This window comes from Homo sapiens, chromosome 11, assembly GCF_000001405.40.
Source record: "Homo sapiens chromosome 11, GRCh38.p14 Primary Assembly".
NCBI lineage: Eukaryota > Metazoa > Chordata > Mammalia > Primates > Hominidae > Homo > Homo sapiens.
Genome location: NC_000011.10, coordinates 31,662,134 through 31,687,600, shown reverse-complemented (window position 1 = coordinate 31,687,600; position 25,467 = coordinate 31,662,134). Strand labels below are relative to the sequence as shown.

Genomic DNA, 25,467 nt, shown 5'->3' with positions numbered 1-25,467 from the left:
CTTTCAAAGAAATTGCAAAAGCCATTAGATCTTTAACCAACTACATGTAATTAAGGTTTTGAGCCCTATGCCCCTGAAACTTCTTGGTCAATGGTCACCTATGAGCCTCATATTGCCAAATACAATAGACTTCTCTATCTATGAGTCAACTGTTGTTTCTATTTATTGCTCAATGCATTTGGCATTGTTCATTATTCCTTCAAAATTCTCTCTTCCCTTAATTTCCATGAGACCACTCCACATGATTCTTCTGCCTTCTTCTCTTCTGAATCTAAACATGTTTTCTGATCTTACATGTTCTAATGTCTTCAACTACCAGCTATATAACAATGATTCCCAAATATACATCTCTGGATCATGTATCTCCTTAGAACAAATTCACACATCCAAATGTTCAAAGGCTATATCCACCTATATGTCCTATTCTACATGTCCCAAACTGCATCTTTTCCTATGGTCCCTATTTTAATGAAAGACACCAACCTCATCTAGTCACCCAAATCAGATATTTGGGAGCAAGTTTAGACTCCTCCTTTTCTCTTACTAAATGACTAAGTTCAGTTGATTTTATCTCATGTCTAATCATTATGATGATGGTGATGGTGATGATGATGATCACCTGGCCTCTGCAACAGTTTCCTAACTCAACTCTTGGCCTCTAGTCTTGTCACCCCACCCCACCCCCACTCCAATCTCTTTTCATACTCCTGCCAGAGTGATTTTTTTTTTTTTGAAGCAGGGTCTCACTCTGTTGCCCAGGCAGGAGTGCACTGGCATGATCTCGGCTCACTGCAACCTCCACCTCCCCAGCTCAATTGATCCTCCCACCTCAGCCTCCCAAGTAGCTGGGACCACAAGTGTCGCCACCATGCCTGGCTAATTTTGTGTAGAGATGGGGCTTCACCATGTTGCCCAGGCTGGTCTTGAACTGGGCTCAAGTAATCCGCCTGCCATGGCCTCCCCAAGTGCTAGGATTATACTTGTGAGCCACTGCACCAGGCCCAGAGTGATACTTCTAAAACACAAATCTGATTGGTAATCTCTGCATAAAATACTTTAATGGCTCCCCATTACCCATGGGAGAGAATCCAAAATTGTGAGCTGGAAATCACATCATGATCTGCCTCTCTCAGAGGGCTTCCCTCCTTTATCCATGTTTAATCTGAAGTTTTAATAAAATAGTCAGATGCTTGCATCTAATTATAGTGAATATGTTTGTACTTAAGATAATCAAGATGAGAAGCTATTCCATACCAAAAAAAAAAAAAAAAACCAACCCACAAGATCATGAAAAATCAGACATATGGTACAGGTAGAATCTAGAATAAAAATTAGTTTCAGGATAAATAATAACAGACCAGAGTTTCTTGGTATTGATTAGAGAAAGAAGGTGATAACCTTAATTGTATTAGGGCTAGCATGACAAAATAAATAATAGATTACTAATATATAAAATGTATATATTTTTCACAGGTGAGTTTGGCTTTCATTTTGACTAAGTCATAAAGCCTACAAGAAGGTTAGAAAAGGAAACTATTATAACAGACTATAGAGAAGTTGTGTGATAACCCCTTGAAAAGACAATTTCAACATATAACTTTTATACATAAACGTATTAATGTGCTATAATCATTTAACAATATATAGGAAAGATTTTTTTTTTTTTTTTTAAGATGGAGTCTCAGTCTGTTGTCCAGGCTGGAGTGCAGTGGCGTGATCTCGGATCACTGTAACCTCCGCCTCCCAGGTTGAAGTGATTCTCCTGCCTCAGCCTCCTGGCTAGCTGGGACTACAGGCGTGTGCCACCATGCCCAGCTAATTGTTTGTATTTTTAGTAGAGAAGGGGTTTCACCATATTAGCCAAGATGATCTCGATCTCTTGACCTCGTGATCTGCGCGCCTGGCCTCCCAAAGTGCTGGGATTACAGGCATGAGCCACCACACCCGGCCAGAAATATTTTTAAAATAAACTTTATTAATAAAATTCATTAAAGTCTCTGCATTTCATATGTCTTCACTAATTTATTAAAGTTTGGATACAAATCTGTTAAGTTTCAACTCTTCTGTTACAAATGTAAATCACTACACTCTTCTTGAAGTAATTGCACTATTGCATTGAAACCCATTTCAATTAACTATGTAATTGGAAATATAGAGTAAAAAAATGCACAGGTTGGGTAAATTATTCAGTAACTTTAGATTTTTTTTTTCAATTAAATTTCCTTTGCTATTTTGTTGTTGTTGTTGTTTTGAGACGGAGTCTTGCTCTGTAGCCAGGCTGGAGTGCAATGGCGCGATCTCAGCTCACTGCAACCTCAGCCTCCCAGGTTCAAGCGATTCCCTTGCCTCAGCCTCCCAAGTAGCTGGGATTACAGGCGCCCACTACCACGCCTGGCTAATTTTTTGTATTTTAGTAGAGACAGGGTTTCACCATGTTGGCCAGGATGGTCTTGATCTCCTGACCTCATGATCCACCCGCCTTGGCCTCCCAAAGTGCTGGGATTACAGGCTTGAGCCACTGCTCCCGGCCTGAACTTCCTTTGCTATTAGGACCCTTTCTTTCTGCAAAACTTTTTGTAAAAGGTTTTCAGTATTATGTCTTAAAGTACCAATTTATGCTTACGTGGGTACATATATTGAAATCATTTTATAATTTGTTTAGTAAGATCAAAATCAGGAATATCAGCAGCTCCTTGAAAGTACCCTCAGCTCCTTTCCAGACACTCCCTGTGAAGACAGTGTTCAGTGTTTCTTTCTAAAAGTCTATTGTAACAGTCTTTCATATCAGATTGCAGTCCATCTGGAATTGATTTTTGTTTACGCTGTGAAGAAGGGGTCAAGATTTACTTTTGTTTTTCATATGGATCATACGGATACCAGTTTTGACTGAGTACTATTTATTGAAAAGCACATCCTTCCCCATCTGCACTAGTGTTATTTTTGGCATAAGTCACAGGTGATCATATACGTATGGGTCTGTTTCTGGACTCTTTTCTGTCCCGTTTGGTTACAATGATCTGTCCTTGTGTCAATACCACAAATGTTGACATAGGGTAGTTCTCCTACATTGCTATGTATAAATATTATTTTTTGGGGCTGGGTGCTGTGGCTCATGCCTTTAATCCCAGCACTTTGGGAGGCCGAGATAAGTGCATCACTTGAGGTCAGGAGTTCGAGACCAGCCTGGCCAACATGGTGAAACCCCATCTCTAGTAAAAATACAAAAATTAGCCAGGGGTGGTGGCATACATCTGTAATTTCAGCTACTTGGGAGGCTGAGGCAGGAGAATCACTTGAATCCCTAAGGTGGAGGTTGCAGTGAGCCAAGATTGATCCACTGCACTCCAGCCTGGGTGACAAAGGGAGATTCTGGTTTTTTTTTTTAAGATTATCTTTTTGGTCCTTTGCATTTTTTTATTTAACAAAAATTTATGCTGGGATTTTTATAGGGACTGCATTGAATATAAACATAAACTCTGGAAGAAGTGACATACCAATTTATATTTGTAGTAGCTTTAGTTAGACTTTCAAAGTTGTGTAGGATCATAGCAGTTCTTAATTGGGTAGGACTGCACAGAGCATCGTTGAATGCCAGAATACCCTAGCCTCATGCATTAAATATTACTGATAATCACTGTAATAACCAAAACCATGTTGATATCCAAGAACTGAAAAAGTTCATCCAGTAATGTTTCTTTCCTACGGCTGAAGTCTGTAATTCCTATTGTTCATTATTTAATAATCATTTACTTAGTATCTAATAAGTGATCTTTTCTACCTCTTATCAATTTTGACATTTATATCTAGCTAATTGAATTTATCCCATAGTACAGATGGAAGAAATCTCTTTAATTATTAAATTGTGAATTCTTTAAAATAGAAACAATGTCTTATTTTTGTATCTCTAGTACCCCCTATACAGTAGGCTTTTAAATAGATGTTTAGCAAATTATCTTAATAGACCATAAAATAATTTTATTTCATCTAGAACATTAATCTTAAAATGCCCATGGCCTTGGAACCTGCAGAAATGATGATGGATTTAAATGTTCATGAAGGAAAATTTCATTGGTGTTTCACAAAATTTAGAAGAGCTTGAGCCTGTTTCATCTGTCCTGCAGTAAAATTCAAAATAATACACTCAATTTGCCAATTTGAAACTTCAACAGTATGGTCGTTTTAACACGGCTTTTAAATTATATTTTTAAAAATGGAAACCTCATACTTTGAAGTGGTACAAAAATTATAAACTAGAAAATTTTTCAAAAGCTATATGAAAATTAAAAAACTCCAAACTTTGTATTTTTAATCAAGCTTACACAAGACACCATAAAAGCTCCTAAAGAGTTGCACAGCAAAAATCTCAATGCTTACTTACAAGATATGCCATAGAAAGAAACTACACATTTGTGTGTAAAATAAGCTGTTCTAAAAATACATTACAGGCTAATGTTAATAAAACAGGATACAAAAATAGGAAGAAGAATGGTAACTAGCTAAGCTTGGGCTTTGTGGGGAGGAGAGGGAAGGTAAAGAAAAATAAGTAAATAAATTTATGTAAATATACATAAAATATTTGGCTAGTACCAAATATACTGATTCAGTGAAATATTTTGGCACTATGGGTGAAATAAAGGCATAGAATATAGACTTTCTGACCTCAAGAAACTTACCGTCAAATGGGCAAGGTGTCAAAATAAGTAATAATATAAATAGAAAGTGATGAGTACATAAATATTTGATAGTCCAAATGACTTTCAAGATGCAACTCAAATATCTTCCTTCTGTAGCTTTCCCTGAACAACTGCCTCATTATTAGTCTTTGTACAGTATTTTCATACCTAACTCTATTTTTGTATCAGTCAATTTCTATTATAGTTGTTTATATGTCAGTTTTCTCTACTAGACTATGAGCTCTTTATGGGTAGGAGTTGTGTTAATACATATTTGTATATTCACAAAAGGCCCGGCACATGGTAGTATTTCTTATACTTACTCAACTTGAGCTAATACAGTATCATACAAAATGTACAAAAATGAGGGAACTGAACAATGAATGCCAAGGTGCTAATTTTACAAATACAAAAAAAAGGTCAATTTATGATGCAACTGTCAGGCTAGGCTAGGCTCAGGGAGCAGGTGAGATTTGAAGTCAACTCTGAATATGTATGTGAGATCTCAGCAGGGGCAAAGACAGTAAGCATCCTGGAAGTGTGACCGAAGTAGTGCTACCAGACTTACTGCTTCTGCACTTTTCTAACAATAGCAGCTAGTGAGGAAGGCAAATACGTAAACAAGCACCTATGAGTCTTATTGATGGGCCACTAATATTACAGCCTTGAGTAATCTATGATTCTTCCTCCTCTTTCATCATTCAGATCCTGGCAAATATCAAGTACAGTATCAAGTACAGCTCTTCACTTAAATCTCTCTTAGATTTGTCAATAGCTTGGCTGAAACTGTTGCATAGTTGGATGGGACGCTGACATTACAGAAGCACTAAATCAACATCAGTATCTACTTACCTTTAGACTTGTTCTCTTTGAAATACAAAGCCCTAGGCCGGGCGCGGTAGCTCATGCCTGTAATTCCAGCACTTTGGGAGGCTGAGGCGGATGAATCACCTGAGGTCAGGAGTTCGAGACCAGCCTGGCCAACATGGTGGAACCCCATCTCTACTAAAAATACAAAAATTAGCTGGGTGTGGTGGTGGGCGCCTGTAATCCCAGCTACTAGGGAGGCTGAGGCGGGAGAATTGCTTGAACCCAGGAGGCGAGGTTGCCGTGAGCCGAGATCGTGCCACTGCACTCCAGCCTGGGCAACAAGAGTGAAGCTCCAATTTAAAAAAAAAAAAAAAAAGGAAAGAAATATAAAGCCCTGTTTGTTCAAGCACCTATCAGTTTTCTTTTACATGCACTGTAACCATTTCCTCACTGATGTATCTTCTGTCCATCTTCTTCCAGATCATCAAAAACGTTACTTTCCCTTTCAGTCTTCTTCTAATTTGCCTTCAAACAGATGTAACATCTCTCTCCTTAAGTCTCACAGCATTTTATCCCTCTTTATTACACTTAGGATATTTTGCCCTGTATTGATTTTTGCACATCTATCTAATCTCTTCTACAACTGTATTCACTTTTCTGGTGGAAAAATGGTGTTTTATTTATTTGCTTTACACATAGCAGCTGTCTAATTTTCTGAACTGATTTAGACTAAGCATACTTTACTGTGATATGCATGTTTACAAACAATTCTATACGGTATGATGCAAAGCTTGGGCACGTAACAAATCAAACCCTGTTTTTGCTGCCCTTCCAGAAACCCCATTCACAACGCAGAACCAAGCCTAATTATACATGACTGTTAGATGAATTTAAAATGCTTTTCTCTGTTCAGCTTGAATATATATTTCAGAAGGAGAAAAGCCTGAAATCTTATTTCAGACCTATCCTCAATTCCCCTCATGATACAAAGTCAAAGTGAGTGTAAATTTTTACAAAAATAGAAGTTACCAAGTTGGTTAATTTCAACTGTTACTAATGAGTCAGGATATACTGACATTTATAAGTTTCACCAAGAAAACTTAACCTCAGGTTAATAAAGGTATGATCACACTTTATCTTTTTTTGATACGTCAGCTAATTCATACCTCAAAAATATTTAATTTGGGAATACCTGAGCTCCTCAGGATAAATTAATTATATTTTAAATTGAGTTTTTACAGTCCGTAACAGAGTTTTATTTCAACATGATCGCTTTGCATTAAATAAAATGAGTCTACCTTAGAGTTCTTCCTTAACAATTTCATTACTAAACTCTGCAAAGAAGCTTTTCATGATGTAGGTTCATCTACTGTGCAGCCTATTGAACACAACATTAGAAGATTAAATACAACCTTCTCTATTGCATACAACATTTTCTAACACTCAAGGGCAGTGAATTTAAACATATTTTAATTGTCAAACCGTTACTTCAAATGATATGTATGAAACAAATAAAACACATATGCTCTGATTCAGGCAGGGGTGAGTATATCGAACTTAGTGTTTTCCTTGCCCTTTGCTTCCTTCTTGCTTGTACCCCTCCACAACCCCTATCCGAAACTCAAACCAGCAATTTCAGAGGATCTTCTGTGAAACCACTGGGGCCATAGCATTTTGCAAACCAATGCTCTAGGGTAAATTTGTTTCAAAAACTAGTGATGCAGGTGCAGAAATATCATCATAAATATCATTTTAGCAACATGGGATTCTTGCCAGTTTCAAGATGTATTATATTTAACTCAATTCCTTCTGTATAATAAAGAACCAATAAGTGCTTAATTTTCTTCACAATGATGTTACAATAATAAAAAGTATGTTGGAGACTTCTGTTTTCCAGTCCTGCATGTAATGAACTTGGAAGGTGTCATTCCTGTCTCCACAAGCAAAAAGCTGAACAAACTGAAAAATCAACAAATCTTAGATCCATCAGATAATTGGGGTCACAGGGAAAACCACTGCCCTCTATGATTGTAGAAATGATAGGCAGATACAGAGAATCACAACTTACCCAAGTAAAAGCCTAGGAAAAAAAAATTCTCCACAGGGACCAATACCAAAAGAGTAGGAAAATCTAAACTGTAAAAGACAAACTGTTGGAAGCTCAGGGTGGACATTAGAGAGTACACAACTCCAGAGGGACCCAGCCCTAGGAATGAAAGACACAATACTGTCAAGATTTCAGTTCTTTCCAACTTGATCTATAAATTCAACGTAATCCAAATAAAAATCCAAGCAAGTTATTTTATGGATATTGGCAAACTGACTCTAAAGCTTATATGGAAAGGCAAAAGACCCATAATAGCCAACACGATACTGAAGAACAAAGTTGCAGGACTGAAACTACCTGTTATGGGCTGAATTGTGTCCCTTCAAAATTCATATGGTAAAGCCCTTACGCATAGTATCTCATAATGTAACCATATTTGGGTATGAGGTCTTTGAGGAGGAATTAAGTTAAAATGATGTCTTTAGGGTGTGTCCTAATCCAATATGACTGGTGTCCTTCTGAGAAAAAGAAACTTAAACTCAGACATGTGCAAGCACAGAGGGAAAACGTAGGGAGAAACAGTCATCTACAAGCCAAGTAGAGAGGCCTCAGAAGAAATTAACCCTGCTGATATCTTGATTTTAGACTTCTGACCTCCAGAACTGTAAGAAAATAAAATTTCTATTGTTTAAGTCAGCCAGTGTGTGGTATTTATTGTGGTTGCACTAGCAAACTAATATACTGCCCGACTTCAAGATATAATATAAAGCTACCATAATCAAGACATGTGGTATAGTCTTGATTATGGTATATGTGGTACATGAATATAGATTATGGTATATGTGGTACATGAATATAGTCAACTGAACTTGAATATAGTTGCATGAATATAGTCAATAAACAAATGGTATACAAAATATACAAAGAACTTCTAAAATTCAACAATAACAGAAAAACCAACTTAATTTAAAAATGGGCAAAAGATGTGCATAGACAACTCACCAAAGAAGACAGATGGATGGCAAAAAAACATATAAAAAGAAGTTTCATATCATATGTCCAGAAAATTGCAAACTAAAACAATAATGAGATGCCACTCTCATTTTCTACATTTTAGAAAAATGGCTAAAATCCAAAAACACTGATAACACCAAATGCTGACAAGGATGTGGAGCAACAGGAACTCTCATTCATTGCTGGTGGGAATTTAAAATGGTGTAGCTACTGTGGAAGTCAGTTTGCCAGTTTCTTGCAAAATGAAATATGCTCTTATACAATCTATCAGTTATACTCCTTGATATTTACCCAATGAGTTGAAAACTTATGTCCACATAAAAACCTGCACACGGATGTTTATACCAGTAGCTTTCTTCATAATTGCCAAAACTTGGAAGCAACCAAGATGTTCTTTAGTAAGTGAACGAATAAACAAACTATGGTACACCCACACAATGCAATATTATTTAGCACTAAAAGAAATGAGTTATCAAGCCAGAGAAAGACATAGGAGAACATAAAATGCACATATACACACACACACACACACACACACACACACACACACACACACACACATACATATATGTATGCAATAAATAATAACAATTATTTATTAATTTTGAGACAGGGTCTTGATATGTCACCTAGGCTGGAGTGCAGTGGTGTGCGACCACGGTTCTCTGCAACCTTGACCTTTTAGGCTCAAGTGATCCTCTCACCTCAGACTCCTGAGTAGCTGGGACCACAGCTGCACACCACCATACCTGGCTAATTTTTAAAATTTTTTGCAGAGACAGGGGTCTCATTTTGTGGTCCAGGTTGGTCTCAAACTCCTGGCCTCAATCAATCCTCCCATCTCAGCCTCCCAAAGTGCTGGGATTATAGGCATGAGCCACTGTACCTGGCCTTAAATGCATATTGCTAAGGGAAAAAAGCCAATATGAGGAAGCTACAATCTACGTAATTACATGGCATTGTGAAAAAGGCAAAATTGTTTATTGAAACAGTAAAAAGATCAATAGTTGTCAGACATTGGGGGAGGGAGGAAAGAAGGGGGAGAGAAAGATGAATAGGTAGAGAACAGGGGATTTTTAGGAAAGTTTCACAATTCCATATGATACTGTGATGGGAATACATGTCATTATACATTTGTCAAGATCCACAGAATGTCAAAACAGAGTGAATCTTAGTATAAAGTATGGACTTCAGTCAATAATAATGTATCAATTCTGGCTCACCAATTGTAACAAATATTCCACTCTAATGCAAGATATTAATAATAGGGGAAACTGAGGAATGAGTGTGGATGGGTATATGAGAACTCTATATTTTCTTTTCAATTTTTCTGTAAGCCTTTTAAAAACTCTTTAAAAAGTCTATTAACAGTTTGCATCAATGTTAAGTATTTCATTCCATTCTTGTTTTTTTAAATCACATTGGCATAACCTAAAGACCTATTTTTGTAGATTATAATCAACTACTATAACCATGAAAAAACTTGGAGTATTTTCTAAATTTCAATGTACTACATAATATAAAGCAGAGGTCTTAAAACTGGAAAATGCATCTCCTTTGGGTTTTAAGAAGACTTTCCAATAGCTACGTGGGCGTGGGCAGTTTCAAAATAATTCAATTTTGAGATCCTCAGTTTCCATAGTTATTCTCTACTAAAATTAATCTACTTGAAAATGTACCTACAGTCTGCAAGTTCTCCTTTCCCATTTAATTGAAGTTGGCAAAAGAAGGCATAGCTCTCACCCACCCTGGACCTTGGTGTGCGTTACATTGCTCCTAAGGGAGAGTCCCATAATTGCAAAACAGACAAACTAAAGGGGATTGCATTTTGTTTCATGATGACCATGGGACACACTCATGGCAACAGAAAGTGAGGAGATTGTCCTGGAAACTGTTTAATTAGAATTTAAAAATGAAGTCGGACTTTGTTCTCATCAATTTGACAATGATTGCCAATTAGACTATATTACAAACCTTTTCTACTAATTGAATGAGCTAAGCCTATACTGCATGATTTGGATGAAAATATATTACAGCATATATTGGTCAGAAATTATACCCTTTGTCACTATTTGAACATATAATAGAAAATTTTATATCAACTTAAAAATGTGTGAGGAGGTACATGGTTTTAAAAAATGATGTAAATATAAATAAAAATATTGATAATTGAATGAAACTTGCTAAACTTGGCCATAACCCAAAAGCTACAAAGAGGGCTTGGCCTTTGGAGTCTCTTACAGGCTTGAATTGGAACTTAGCCATTCATTTGATACATGATTTTGGGCCAATGACTTAACCTCTCTAAGCCTCTTTATCTCTCTGAGAACTAGCTGTGGGGATTAAATAATACCAGCAAAGTGCCTATACAGTGTCTAACACTTAGTACCTATAAATAATAGCAATAAATGGTATTATTTCAACTAGTATAAGCTTCCAAATTCATTCATTCTTGTATACAATTTAAATAGGGAAGAAGACAGGAAACAACTTGAGAGAAACTGAGACATACAAACTTGTTTTTTTGAGCACCTTATCGTATGTAAGATACTGTTCTAAACAGAATGGAATGTACAAAAATCCTTGTTCTTGTGAAACCTACATCCTAGTACAGGAAGATGGAAAGTGAACATAATAGATATGAAAATTATACAGCATATTAGAAGGTGGTGAGTGCTATGGGAAAACATGAAGCAGATTAAGAGTGATTGGCAATGGCAGAATAGGGATAGATTGCTATTTGGAAAAGAAGAGTCAGGAAACCCTCATTAAGAAGGTGATATATGAACAAATATTTGAGGGCATTGAGGCAGTTAGCTATGAAAAGATGTGAAAGAATAACATTTCAGGTAAAGGAAACAGGCAGCAAAGGCCCTGAGGCTTACTGTGTTCAAGCAAGGAGGCCAGTGTGGCTAAAATGGAGCAAATGGTGGGAGAGGAATAAAAGATGAGGTCAGAGAGGAAAGGCAGCCAGGTCATGTAGGGTCTTGGTGGTCACTTAAGGACTTCTGAGTGAGATGAAGAATCAACACAGAGTTTGAGCAGTGAAATGACATGATCTGTCTCATGTTTTAAAAGAATCATCCTCTTGGCTACTGTATGAGAACAGACTGAAGGAGGTCAGGGTTAAAAGAAGAAATCTAGTTAGGAGGCTTAGACTGAGTGGTAGCATTGGAGGTGGTAAAAACTGTTTAAATTATGAATATATTTTAAAGCAAAGCCAACAGGATTTTCTGTCAGATTGAATGTTGGGTAAATAGTAATTGTTTTCTTCTATTTGAAGAGGGAAAAAAATCTTCCTATAAACACCTGAAAAAGATTGTATAACTATAGAGTTTTTAGAGGGAAGGGACTTCTTTCATAACTTCCACAGTATAAGTATCTAAGATGTTAAGTGAGAACAGAAACCATGTATAGCATTTGCATTTCCCACAGTGCCTACATGATCACTTCAGCCCTGTATATGCTTAATATATTTTTTAAAAAGATTAAATGTAGCTGGGCGCGGTGGCTCACACCTGTAATCCCAGCACTTTGGGAGGCCGAGGCGGGCGGATCACCTGAGGTCAGGAGTTCGAGACCAGCCTCAACATGGAGAAACCCTGTCTCTACCAAAAATACAAAATTAGCCAGGCGTGGTGGTACATGCCTGTAATCCCAGCTACTTGGGAGGCTGAGGCAGGAGAATTGCTTGAACCTGGGAGGCGGAGGTTGCAGTGAGCTGAGATCGCGCCATTGCACTCCAGCCTGGGCAACAAGAGCGAAACTCCGTCTCAAAAAAAAAAAAAGATTAAATGTATTAATTGTTATACTACACTCCCTCTCATGACTCTTGGGGGCAACAATTCTGCCCATTCAATCTGCCACAATCTCTTCCCTGTCCTGCCCTTAACTCTTCACTTCTGACAGTGATGATTTTTCCTACATGCTAAGAATGTATATGCTAAGGAAACCAGATGGAGAAATAACTGCCTTTTTGTAGTATTAGCAATAAAATAGAAAAAGAGGGCTACAGTGGTAACCAAGCATTTAGCTTCCATAATTTCCAAAGCTTTGTTACTGCCACGTTGTGTACAAACATGCGCACACTTTACAATCCAAGTGCTTTTTTTTTTAACTAGGTACTAGAAACCTGAATTAATGAAGACATTGCTACTGCTATTATATAAAGAGGTAACATTCAGTTTTGTTTTACTAATATGGACAGAATGTTAATTCAGTTCTTAAATGTAAATTCTTTCAGAAATCCTGAGCTTGAATAAGTTTAATTTTATGAGTGCCTTCAGGTTTGAGAGAAAAGCCATGCCCTGGCATGTTTTCAAACAGCCCTTACGTGAAGACTGCAGTGTTGTAGGGAAGAGGCTTTTATCTCCATTTACTTCCAATCCTAAAATGTACAACTGGTAAAATTAAGAAAAATGGTTGGCGGGTCAAACTAAAATGGTAACTCTTTTCACAGTTTTATAAATGAGACTTTCCTTTCCATATTAAATGTTTTAACACAGCTTTCCAAATATACTCATTCTATAGACTTCTATTCAAATTAGTTGGAAATACATGTTTTCTTATTTTCTACCTTTTATTTAACAAAATGTGTCAACTGAAGACATGGTGATGACTGGTTGCATCACACTTCAAGGTTTTTCTATTAAGTGGCCAATGGCATGCAAGCAATTAAACACACCAATTTGGAAACAATCTTTTCCATATTTTGTTAGTGAAAAATGTGTCTCCAATGTTCTGGTGTGAATCTTTATTAAATAAAATTTTCTATAATGCTTACAATGCTTAAAATGTTCTGAAAGGTTTATGAAATAATATTCTATTAGATGCTCTATTAAATAAAAATTTCAAGAGATTCCACACAGATTTTGTCTATTGTTCACTTCCAATAGAAAACAATACCAATGATCCTAATTTCTCAAATGCCTGTAAATAGAGTGATGAATTGCTGATGTATTCTCCACGAAAGATACCTCCAAAGGTCATAATTTGGTTTGTTTTTATGGCCACACACTACATTTCCTGTGGACCAAGGCAATCTTAAATAACCAGTTATATCTTAACAAGCAAGCAGTTCTCTAACATGGGCAATATTTTGAATGAATGTTTTATTATAATGAATAGCCCTTCTAAGAAATACTTCTCTATTTCCGTTAGAGTAACCATGAGCTAACTAGCATTTCATTAGATATCAAAAAAATCAAGAAGTAAATACTAGTGCATCATATTATATAGAAGAAATTCCAAACAAATTTAGCATGTTTAAACATAGATTACCAGGTGTTCTCTTTTAAATAATTCATATCTATAGCATATAAAGTTTTAACAATTAAAATTGTGGAGCTTATGATAGATAACTGATAATGGGACTATGATTTATGCACCAAAATTGTGGCAACTGAGATCTCATCAAAAACTACTGTCAGGCTGGGTGCAGTGGCTCATGCCTGTAATCCCAACATTTTGGGAGGCTGAGGGAGGAGGATTGCTTGAGGCCAGCAGTTCAAGACCAGTGTGGGCAACACGGCGAGACTCCATCTCTACAAAAAATAAAATTAGCAGGGTGTGGTGGCACTTGTCTGTAGTCATAGTTACTTGGGAGGACGAGGCAGGAGAATCATGTAGAGCCCAGGAATTTGAGGCTGCAGTGAGCTATGATGACACCACTGTACTGCAGCCTGGGTGACAGAGCAAGACACTGTCTCAAAAACAAACAAACAAAAACAAACAAACAAAAAACAACCCACTAATGGCTCATGCCTGTAATCCCAGCACTTTGGGATTACAGGCAGGTGGATCACCTGAGGTCAGGAGTTTGAGACCAGCCTGGCCAACATGGCGAAACCCCATCTCTACTAAAAATACAAAAATTAGCCGGACATGGTGGTGCACACCTGTAGTCCCAGCTACTTGGGAGGCTGAGGCTGGAGAATCACTTGAACCCAGAAGGCGGAGGTTGCAGTGAGCTGAGATCGTGCCACTGCACTCCAGCCTGGGTGACAGAGGGAGACTCCATCTCAAAAAAACAAAGACAAAAACAAAAAAACCCACCAAAACCCAAAAACTACTGTCATCCCTTTATAGTTTTATTAATTTCCAAGTTTTACCTTTCCATGTAAACTTAGAATACCATCAACTTAAACTTAGAATATCATCAACTTATATGGAAGTCATTTGGGTGAACTGTGCATGTGATAACTGTTTTACTGAATTATGACTTTCTTTTTAAAAAGATTACTTATTTTATTATTTTATTTTTTATTTTGAGACAGGGTCTCACTCTGTCACCCAGGCTGGAGTGCAGTGGCACAATCATGGCTCACCATAGCCTTGACCTCCCGGGCTCAGGTGATCCTACCTCAGCCTTGTGAGTAGCTAGGACTATAGGTGCCCACCACCACACCCAGCTAATTTTTGTATTTTTTGTAGAGATGGGGTTTTGCCATGTTGCCCAGACTAGTCTCAAATTCCTGGGCTCAAGTCATCCGCCCACGCCTTAGCCTCCCAAAGTGCCAGGATTACAGGTGGGAACCACCGTGCTTGGCTTGAATTATTACTTTCAATTCACATATGCTCAATAAAAATCATATCTAAAAAGTTATATAGGTTTTTCACAGCACTGGAATAAATATCATCTCTAAGAAATGCCATTATAACAAAATCACCTCATAACAAAAGACTTCTAAGTCCTAAATGACCACTCCATTTTTTAAAAAAGTAATAATCGTACAACTTCAATAAACAAAACAATTTGAACAGTTCTTACAAACTTCTGCAACAGAGAAGACATTTATTGAATCATATAATAATAATACTCAGTATAGAGTACAGTTATGCTGGCTCCATTGTCATAAATCACTTAAAATTGGGTCCAGATGGTAAGCTGGTAAAAGCCAGGGAGTGTCTTTACAGGGGGTATCCAGAGGTTTTCCTACCCCTAATAGATATCAGGGTTGAAGAGCAGACTATTTAGTCATCAGCCTTGCTGCCCCAGCCCCCTCATCGACCTTCTAAGCTCCCCCCAGAAAAACAAAAATGAACACTAAGCAGCCAAAAGCCAGTTCCTGCTTACAACAAAGTTCCTGATGGGAATAAGAGAACCGTAATACTGTAACAGACCTGGAGCTTGATGACCTATTTTAGCTGCTAGCAGCTAAACCTTAAGTCACATGGCTACTTCAGAGGTTCACAGAATTCTGTATGCAGCAGAGTCAGGCATGAAAAGTGCTTTTCACAGTCACTTGGCAAATAAGTCTTGTTGTTTATTTTCTACCTTGAGATGCTGCAGTCTTTACTCACCAGGGAGCTCAATGTGCCATTATAAAGGTTGTTGTGAGGATACATGTTTTGGTATCTGTGTCTAGTGGTCTGCCATCTAAATACTCATATGTATCTGTGAGGGCTATTAGATGCTAGGCTAGGCTAGATGAGGTTTTTGTTGTATGCCTTTCAGTCCAACTGGAAAAAAGTAGGAAAGTGGAAAAATACCTTGTTTATAAAGACATAAAATCTTACTTATGTCTCAATTTAGTAAGCTATTTATCTATAATGTCTTAAATCTCTGATATTATGTGTAATGCATGATGTTTACTTTTAATGACTGATAATGTGTGATATTTTCTTTCAATGGTTTAAGTAATATGAAATAATCACATACTTCCCTTTGCAAACCTTAAATACTTTCTAATGGCACTAGGGTAGTTAAATCATTTTTGCTCTCAAGCTTGCCATGTCAAATGAGCTACAAAATTGATCTTTTAAGTTTTGTGCTCTACACATTAACAATTTAACAATTTTTTTGGTCCAAAAAACTTCTAAGTGGATAGTTGTGATTCAACGTATAAATGTGTAAGCAAAGAAACCATTTTATGATTTATTTTATGGTTTTATTTTGAAAATTAGGCTGATGTGAAAGGAAACTAAGGCCCTTTAGTTTCTATCGGAAATCTTTAATTATAAGCACTATACAGTTGAAAGGCATCCTAAATTAGGTATTACCTTACCTCTATTTACTTTTATATAATTATTCTGATGAATGATGTTATTACAGCATTACACAAAATAACTAACCCACTTTTTTTTAATGTTTCCTAAGTGATAAACACATTATATTACATATAGATTAAGGCAATAAATCTCCAACTAAAATAGTTAACAGTAAATAAAAAGTAGGAACTATAATTCCTATTTCTTGGTTAGAAAAAAATAACCTTATGAAAAAGAATGACTTGGGGAAAATATTTTATAAATAAAATTTTAAGAAATAATTATACTTTTCTAAAAAATATAAAAATGGTTATTTTAATACCCAATTTAGAGAACAAAATCTGAGAAACATGACTTTTGACACTGTGGGCAACGCAAAAGCCTCCCTTTGCTTGAAATTTTCACTTTGTATTATTGTGGAGTGTCATGGAGACAGAATCACAATGTGACATTTTTGTCCTCATCTTTGATGTCCCTAGCATAAAATTATTACTCTTACAGAAAGAAGGAGTCTCCTACTTGGAAAACAATGAGGTTTATTATGTAACAGTTAGAAGGGTAGCAGAGTGGCTGCAAATCTTCTAAAGGAATGGTAAAAGATGACAGGGACACAACACTTCGCAAACTGAATTTTAAACAATGATTCAAATTATCATAAAATAATTAATCATGTTTCAGTCAAGTGATAATAGATATAAATGTCAATTGACTAGGAACAATGAATATGTAAGCCCATGGGATATTACTATCCAGTGTTATCAAGATGTTATCAACTTGGCACCTCCCCTCAATTTGAAGGGTACATTTTAAATGCTCAGTTGGTTTGGCCTTAATTAGTCATCCTGATAGGTATCCATACTGAATCACTACCATATGTCTATAAAGGCAAGAGGAAGAGATAATATAGATTAGCTAAAAAATGCATTTAAATTCAAATCAAATTATTTGATAGGGTTTTAATGCATCAAGTAACAAACTCATCATTAAAAAGTCGAGTTTTGCATATGCCAAAGATTTAGAAGGAAGTCAGTATATTGGCAGGGAAGGATGAGTTGTGTGAAGAAGGAGCTAGCAAGATCTTCACTAAGAAGGAAAGACTGAGTTAGATGTTAAGGTATTTTGAAAAACAATTCTAGGTTGATATGGAGGCATATCCCAAGCAGAAAGTATAAATCCTTAAGGACAATATATAGTTTGGTAATTAGGGAAAATCTAAACAGTTTAGTTTGGGTTTGGAGGACTGATTACTAATACCCTTCTCCATGAAACAGACAACCTAGACCCATATAGAGAGCGGGAATAATTAAACATGCAGTCAGGTATTTAGCAGAGTTAAACATTAGTTTTCCACTCATTCCACATATGTTTAATACGTATCTATTGTGTGCTAAATCCTGTGTAAGGTGCTGTGGGTGAATGACTGAGGAAGAAAAAGACAGTTTCTGCCACTAGTTTATGGTATGGTGAAGACAGACATCAAAGAAACAGGAAATTAAAATAATGTTGTAGATGCTACAATAACTTATGAGTTACTCTGGGAGCACAGAGGTAGGCTATCTAACCTAGTCTTGAAGAATCAGAAAAATCATTTTAAAGGAAGTGACATCTAAGTGGAGGACTACATGAAGAGCAAGATTGATCTATTGCAGAAAAGGGGAGAGCATTTTTCGCATTTATAAAAGACGTGGGCCAGGCGCGGTGGCTCATGCCTGTAATCCCAGCAGTTTGGGAGGCCGAGGCAGGCGGACGAGGTTAGGAGATTGAGACCATTCTGGCCAACATGGTGAAACCTGTCTCTACTAAAAATACAAAAAATTAGCTGGGCATGGTAGTCCCAGCTACTCGGGAGGCTGAGGCAGGAGAATCCCTTGAACCTGGGAGGCAGAGGTTGCAGTGAGCCGAGATCGCGCCACTGCACTCCAGCCTGGTGACAGAGCGAGACTCCATCCCAAAATAAAATAAAAATAAAAATAAAATAAAATAAAAATAAATAAAAGACATGGAAGTGACAGAAGAATGGGCCATTGAGGAGACTGCAAGTGAGAGTAAAGCTGCAAGTCGAAGTTTGAGACAAGAGGTGAGGCTGGGGAGGCAGGCAGAGGCCAGATATTAAGGACATGTATTTTAATAAAAAGCATTGGACTAAATTAAAAATTCAACTAAAATACCTTCATAAATATTTACTAAATGAGTTAATAAACAGCTATGGTTGATCTCACCCTCACATAATTAGTCCTTGTAAGTTCAATTGACTCAGTATGTATATCAAAATAAGAAACAGCTTCATCCTAGGTCAGGAAATTAAAAATCTGACAGATTTCTTATTTTTCTCTCTACAGGGTTCTTACACACACACACACACACACACACACACACACACACACACACACACGGTACCAAAGGAAATTTCATTCCGATATCTAAAGCAAAGAAGAGAATCACAGCTAGGTGCGGTGGCGAACACCTATAATTTCAGCTACTCAGGAGGCTGAGGCAGGAGGATTGCTTGAGCCCAGGAGTTTGAGTCAAGCCTGGGCAACATAGCCAGCCCTTGTCTCTTGGGGAAAAAAAAAAAAAAAGAATTACAACACATTACTGGAAAATAATTATTCCTTTGTGATGTATGAAACAAATGACTTGAGTGTTGCCAATCATTTTATTAAAAATAGTGTTAATCTGTCACAGGAGCAGTGTAAAAAAGTAGTCTGAGGAATATAATAATTTTGCCTCATGTGATGGTGTTAAGGCATTTTTCAGGATAATTGTTTTTTGTCACTTAAAAAATAAGATTCATCATATACCATGCTTAAGCATATACGTATATTAAAAAGTGTTGAAAAGAAACTTATATTAAAACCAAAACCAAAAAGCATAATTATTTAAATATTATACAAAACATCATTTTAATTTGCTTGTTTTCTAAGTTTAAAACAAATTCTGCTTTCCAAATAAAGCAACTACTGTTTTGGATAATCTCTATTCAATAATTACCATTTAAACTTTTTTGAATATTTACTATAAAGCAGTGTTATATGAATTCTTCTGATTAGAAAATAAATGCTTGTGGGAAAAATGGGAGCAATTTTATTTTAGAAATGATGCAGATGCACCCTATAATAAAAAAGTAGACTTAATGATCAGATAATTAGTTGGGAGGAGTAACGGAGTATGATAAGATGAATGGATCATAGATTTTATTGCCTAAGTTAAAATTTAGCACAAAATCCAGTCTGAGTAGCACGAGTCAGTGTATAAGTTAGACATTTTCATTTAACTGCTTTTGGCATAAAGAATATATATAGTTTACTAAGTTACTTTCATAGTACTCCCTCTTATTCAGAAATACATGTCACTAGATTATATTATGCAGTTCACCGGTAGAAGTTTTATAGTTGAAATTTTAAAAATGTGGAATTATATAAACTTCATTTTGACAGTGTTCTTCAGGATGCTTATTTTAGATGGTGTTACCTAAATCTTACATGGCTCACTGGTAACTATTAGTTAAAATAAAAATAACGTAGAAAATAATAAAATTAACGCAGATTAAGTTTGTTAAAAATAAATTATGTTACATCCAAAAATATAAGAATGTTTCACTCATTATACTAAGTAATCACTTCTGTGATGTCAGGAGATTAATTTCCATAAACTTCCAAAATAAAGTTGATGGTTATTTGACATTAGGTGCTTTAGAAAAACTTTGTGTAGAATGCAGTAGTGATTATACTACTGCTTCATAAGATTATAGAAAATACTCCCTATACTAAAAGGAATCTTTCCAAGGGAATAATAAACTTTAATTAAAAGTAATGGATAATGAGAAATAAACTTATTAAGTGCTTGCTCCAATGATATAACAGACTCTATGGGCCAACCTTCTCAGGCCATCTAAACATCTTCAGGTGGGATCACATTTCAACAAGCCAGGACAGATGCAAATAGACTGCATTTTATAATAAACTTATCTATATGTGGTCTATGATAAAGTATTTTAATATCCAAAAGCCTTTGTTTAAATAACCTCAATCTTTCCTTTTACAATTTGTCTGTTGCTCACTTGGTCCTCCATGCTGGTTGTAAAAACTACCCTTACTATTAAATCCTCCACATACTAACACATTTTTGAAAATTACTTCAGATTTCTCTTTTTTCAGGGCATTAGTAAGTCTTTTAATCACTCTTTTTACATCATCTCAAAATGTTGATATTTCCTAATTCCAAAGGAGAGCCATTTTCACAAAAAAGATGAAAGGCAGTAAATAGTAAGTAAGTTAATTTTCTTAGGTAGCCACTTTTCTCTAGACTTTACATTTCTCTAGATAGTAAAAATGGTAATTAAGTCTACATAAGGAACCTTTTTTTTTTTTTTTTTTGAGACAGAATCTCACTCTGTCGTCCAGGCTGGAGTGCAGTGGCGCAATCTCGGCTCACTGCAATCTCCGCCTCCCGGGTTCAAGTGATTCTCCTGCCTCAGCCTCCTAAGTAGCTGGGACTACAGGCACATGCCACCACACCCGGCTAATTTTTGAATTTTTAGTAGAGACAGGGTTTCACCATGTTGGCCAGAATCGTCTCGATCTCCTGACCTCATGATCCACCCACCTTGGCCTCCCAAAGTGCTGGGATTACAGGCGTGAGCGACTGCACCCAGCCTACAAAAGGAATCTTTATTAAAACAATTAAAGTGTTTTCCGCTATAGTGTTCAGTTTATTATTCTCTTCAAATCTATTTTTAAAAATATTTAAAGAATCTGAAGGCTGGGTGTGGTGGCTCATGCCTGTAATCCCAACACTTTTCTAGGCTGAGATGGGAGGATCACCTGAGGTCAGGAGTTTAAGGCCAGCCTGTATAACATGGTGAAACCTTGTCTCTACTGAAAACACAAAGACTAGTCGGGTGTGGTAGCCCACTCCTGTAATCCCAGCTACTCGGGAGGCTGAGGCACGAGAATTGCTTGAACCCAGGAGGCAGAGGTTGCAGTGAGCCTAGATTGTGTCACTGTACTCCAGCCTGGGGGACAGAGTGAAACTCTGTCACAAAAAAAAAAAAAAAAAAAAAAGAATTTGAAACTTATTTTGAAAAACATTTTATGTTAAAGTGAGAGAATTAGGCTGGGCACCTTGGCTCATACTTGTAATCCCAGCACTTTGAGAGGCCTAGGCAGGTGCTCTGCTTGAGCCCAGGAGTTCAAGACCAGCCTGGGCAACATGGTGAAACCCTGTCTCTACAAAAAATAGAAAAATTAGCTGGGCATGGTGGCGCATGCCTGTAGTCCCAGCTACTTGGGAGGCTGAGGAGGGAGGATCAATTGAGTCTGGGAGGTTGAGGCTACAGTGAGCCATGATTGCACCACTGTACTCCAGCCTGGGTGACACAGAATCTCTCAAAAAAAAAAAAAAAAAAAAAAAGGAAGAGAGACGATTAAACATTTTTATAATATAAAAATTTACTGAGATGTTTCAAGAACTGGCAAGAGTCAAATACTAATAGGAATCTTTGATATTTGATGATTATGGTATATCAATAATATAATATTTTAGAAAGCATAAATACTTTGAAAAATGACTTTATAGTTTTTAAACACACGGTGAAGCTAACCTATAGGAAGTACTTGTAATGGTAGAAAGTTTTACCAAACATATTTGTGTTAAAAAAGCTTCATAGTACAAAAGGAATACTACTGAAAATTAAAAATACTAGAGAGAGAGAGCGAGAGGGAGAGAGACTTCCCTTTTGCTACAGGCATAGTTTAAGTCTTGTGTCACAAATAAAAGGATCCTCCCTAGCATATGGAGTAGTTGCCATGTCCTCCCAGGGATGGTCTGTAGCTATGTTCACCTCAGGCTCATCAAGAAGAGGTAAACTGTCAAGTATAATTTCAGTCATAGGGTGGTTTGGTTGAGACAGATTAGTGGTATGCAATCATGATAGATAGTTTATCCCAGCTCCAAACTGCCGCTTGGGAAATCTTGAACTCAAATGAACAGAGACTCAGTCATTATTAGTGTCAAAAAGGTATACAGAGGCAAAATTTGGTTGGCAGCATAAAAGATGAATCAAAGCAAAAAAGTGACCAATTGCATGTTCAAAATCGAAATTGAGATGCATACTACAGCTTGGAAATACTTTAAATACCAGAAAAGTCACACATTATTAATTGCGCATTGATTAATATTTAAAACATGTTTCTGTAATGTATTTTCAAAGAGACAATAAAATTACATGTATTTTCTTATTTCAAAACCTTTATTCTCAAGGTGATGCATAGTAAGGAGTACCCTTTTAGATACAGGAGTAAGATAGCAAAATGTTTTTTAAAAATTTGTTTAATTTTTAGTATCTTTCCTTCAGCTGCATATTTCCAGAAATAAGACTTTTTAGAAGAAGAATTTAGTTTTATGGGACTATTTTAATATTCAAATGTCTTACAGTTTGATGACTTTCTCAGGAAGAAATCAGGTTATAATAAAAGCATGAATTTAAAATGTGGAAGAACCTAATCTAAATAACTTTCCAAATATTTTCTAAACACTGAAAAATATATATTTATAAATTGTAAAATACATTATTCTATTAGCAAACACAAACTTTGGTATCTTTAAATCAGACTCCCCCCCCAACCAAATATCCACAAAAAGAATGTCCTCAAGTGTCAATGCCTGAAGTGATACGCTCTGACAAATCTAACAGCTCTTTCTGTGTCATTCCTAATGCACTTGTCACTCAGTATTATCCATCCTCATTAATGACAATGGGAAAGTTTATCTTGGGAACACGTTTTAAATCATCTACTCTTTACAATGGGACCATGAAATCTCTTACAAAACATGAGGCGGGAACTACTCTGACAACAAAACCCCTTCCTGGCAGCTTTATTCTTAATTCCTGTTCAAGGAGTAATCTGTTTATTATAAAATCATACAGAACAATATATTAAACAGAATTTGAAACAAGAATAGCTAGTGTGATTTCCAAGCTTACAAGTATTTTTACAACATTTTTATTAGGCTGAAAACACTACATTGAGTTCTTTTTGTGTGATTTCATGCAATCTTCTATTCTACATCGTAAACACCTTTGAAAAGAAGTTTTGTTTTACATAATTTAAAAATAATTTTCAAATGGTAAGGACACTGGTGTTTATATAATTATTTTAAAATACAATAACTTACATTAGCTTAAATAAAAGCAGTTATTAAGTAAAAATGTGCTCATGTTTAAATTTCCTAACCAAAATGCCAAAATATTCCAACTACAGCATCCTATAGCTTAAAAATAATCTTACCAGGACCAACATTACTTTTAATAATATATTCACCCTTTAAACTTCAGTAAGATCTTGTTTACTTGTCTAAGAAATTCCTACATTAAAAAAATGCATATAAGCAAGCAAGACTTCATAGCACCCGCTTAAACTTACTGTTTTAATTTGACTATCAATTATAGACACTGGATAGTGTGGCTAATGAACAGTTAAAGTTTTTGAGTATACTTCTGCTAATAAAATCAATATATCCTTACGCCCAATATAGAAATGTATCCTTATGCCTCTCAATATTCAGTTATCAAAAGTTTAATGTTACATTTTGATTTACTGTATAGTAAAAAAATCTTAAGTAGATTATAATAAAAAACTCAATATCACATTTAAAGTTGATTTTATAACTTTTAATAATCTGAAGTCATCTGTGTATTCAAACATGCTACAAATGAAAACACTGAATTTTAATATTTAAATTGTATGAAGCTACAATTCATAAAGGATTTTAATTTCAGAATTCAAAACTTTTAACATTTCTAGTTAATGCTTTATTTTAAAAAAGGTTTCTTTAAAAGATGTTGTGCTTAAGGTTCTAAGTTAAATGTACAATAAACACCATAAATGGTTAAATTTATAATGTTTTATAAAAGAAATATAAATCTAATGAAAACTAATATATATTTATACATTACAATTGTTTCTCATATATTAGGTATTTATTATCGATCTGGTAACATTGTATAGAAAATAGCAATTTATCTGTGGCTTCAGAAAGCTGAATTAGTACTAATGGTTAAGAGGTTGCTTTAGCATTTGAAAGAATCTGGTAGAGACTGAAATGAGGTGCCCCTAAGAAAGTGAGTTCCACATGATTACAGAGAGGCTGGATGAGAAAATATGTGCACACAATGAGAAGCTGGCTTTGAAGCACTTTAAGCTCCCTTCCAATTTTAACCTTTTATGAAATCTAGGTATTTTCTCAGAGAGACATTAATGCAGACTATTTGAAAAATCTAGGTATTTTGTCAAAGACATTGCATAAATTCTACAAGTGCAAATTACACAGCAAATGACTGTATGTGTTATTTTTCAAATAAAGCTTAATTTTAAGAGTATAAATCATTATCACCAAATTGACAATTCTCTCAGTAAATTTTCTTTAAAGTATGCGGCTTTTTAAAGTAGGGGTTCTTCTTTATAGAAAATTTTCTTTGTAAATGACGAGACAGAAAATATCTTTGCCTTCGCAGGTCGTAAGATCTCAACTTAGTGATGCACTGTGAAAACAGCCATAGACAAAATGATAGGAATGGCTGTTACAATAAAATGTATTAAAACAACAACAACAACAACAACATGGAGCTGGATTTGGCCCATGGGCCATAGTTTGCTAATCACATGTTCTATTGCAACAGGGGCATAGTTGCTTTAATATTGCCCTTTATTTACCCACTTTTATGTGGACAAAAGCTTAAGAACATTTCCAATGAAATGATTGGAATGTGATAATAATTGAATGCTAAAGAAATTGCTCATGTTTATAGTACTATTAAGACTACATCACATTTCCAAAATATCTTTACATGTACTTTTTTTGTTTTTGACTGAATTACACATTAAGTCAATAACATATCTTAATGAAATGCATTCAGTTATAAATCACACACTG

The 25,467-nt window shown here is 35.8% G+C and overlaps 1 protein-coding gene across 3 annotated transcripts in view, besides 7 other annotated features; it reads right to left on the bottom strand.

Annotated features, from left to right (window-relative positions):
- Positions 1 to 25,467, bottom strand: part of ELP4 (elongator acetyltransferase complex subunit 4) — a 280,558-nt gene that overhangs the window by 102,724 nt on the left and 152,367 nt on the right. The window contains exon 10 of one of the 3 annotated variants that reach the window (NM_001288726.2): positions 5,526 to 5,814. The exons of the other annotated variants lie outside the window; for them this stretch is intronic. Coding sequence (NP_001275655.1) covers positions 5,526 to 5,814 — 289 coding nt within the window. The remainder of the gene's footprint in view (positions 1 to 5,525; positions 5,815 to 25,467) is intronic. 3 annotated transcript variants of the gene reach the window in all.
- Positions 21,803 to 24,313: an enhancer, noted in NCBI's record as "2.5 kb EI fragment". NCBI's record gives its function as "enhancer in the lens, diencephalon, and hindbrain" and the evidence as "EXISTENCE:transgenic organism evidence [ECO:0001131][PMID:11590122]".
- Positions 21,803 to 25,467: part of a biological region, named in NCBI's record as "PAX6 downstream regulatory region", that runs on past the window's edge. NCBI's record gives its function as "regulatory_interactions: LOC106014249 | PAX6".
- Positions 22,265 to 23,792: an enhancer, noted in NCBI's record as "VISTA enhancer hs234; also known as PAX6_hs6". NCBI's record gives its function as "enhancer in: midbrain (mesencephalon)[10/21] | eye[9/21]" and the evidence as "EXISTENCE:transgenic organism evidence [ECO:0001131][PMID:17130149, PMID:19073165]".
- Positions 22,970 to 23,805: an enhancer, noted in NCBI's record as "SIMO cis-element". NCBI's record gives its function as "enhancer in early surface ectoderm, diencephalon, lens, rhomencephalon, and retina" and the evidence as "EXISTENCE:transgenic organism evidence [ECO:0001131][PMID:24290376]".
- Positions 23,160 to 23,460: an enhancer, noted in NCBI's record as "PAX6_hs6A fragment". NCBI's record gives its function as "enhancer in optic tectum, hindbrain, spinal chord, lateral line and lens" and the evidence as "EXISTENCE:transgenic organism evidence [ECO:0001131][PMID:19073165]".
- Positions 23,197 to 23,215: a protein binding site. NCBI's record gives its function as "promotes expression of PAX6 in lens" and the evidence as "EXISTENCE:protein binding evidence [ECO:0000024][PMID:24290376]".
- Positions 23,271 to 23,505: a conserved region, noted in NCBI's record as "conserved region; ultraconserved element uc.325". NCBI's record gives the evidence for it as "COORDINATES:sequence similarity evidence [ECO:0000044][PMID:15131266]".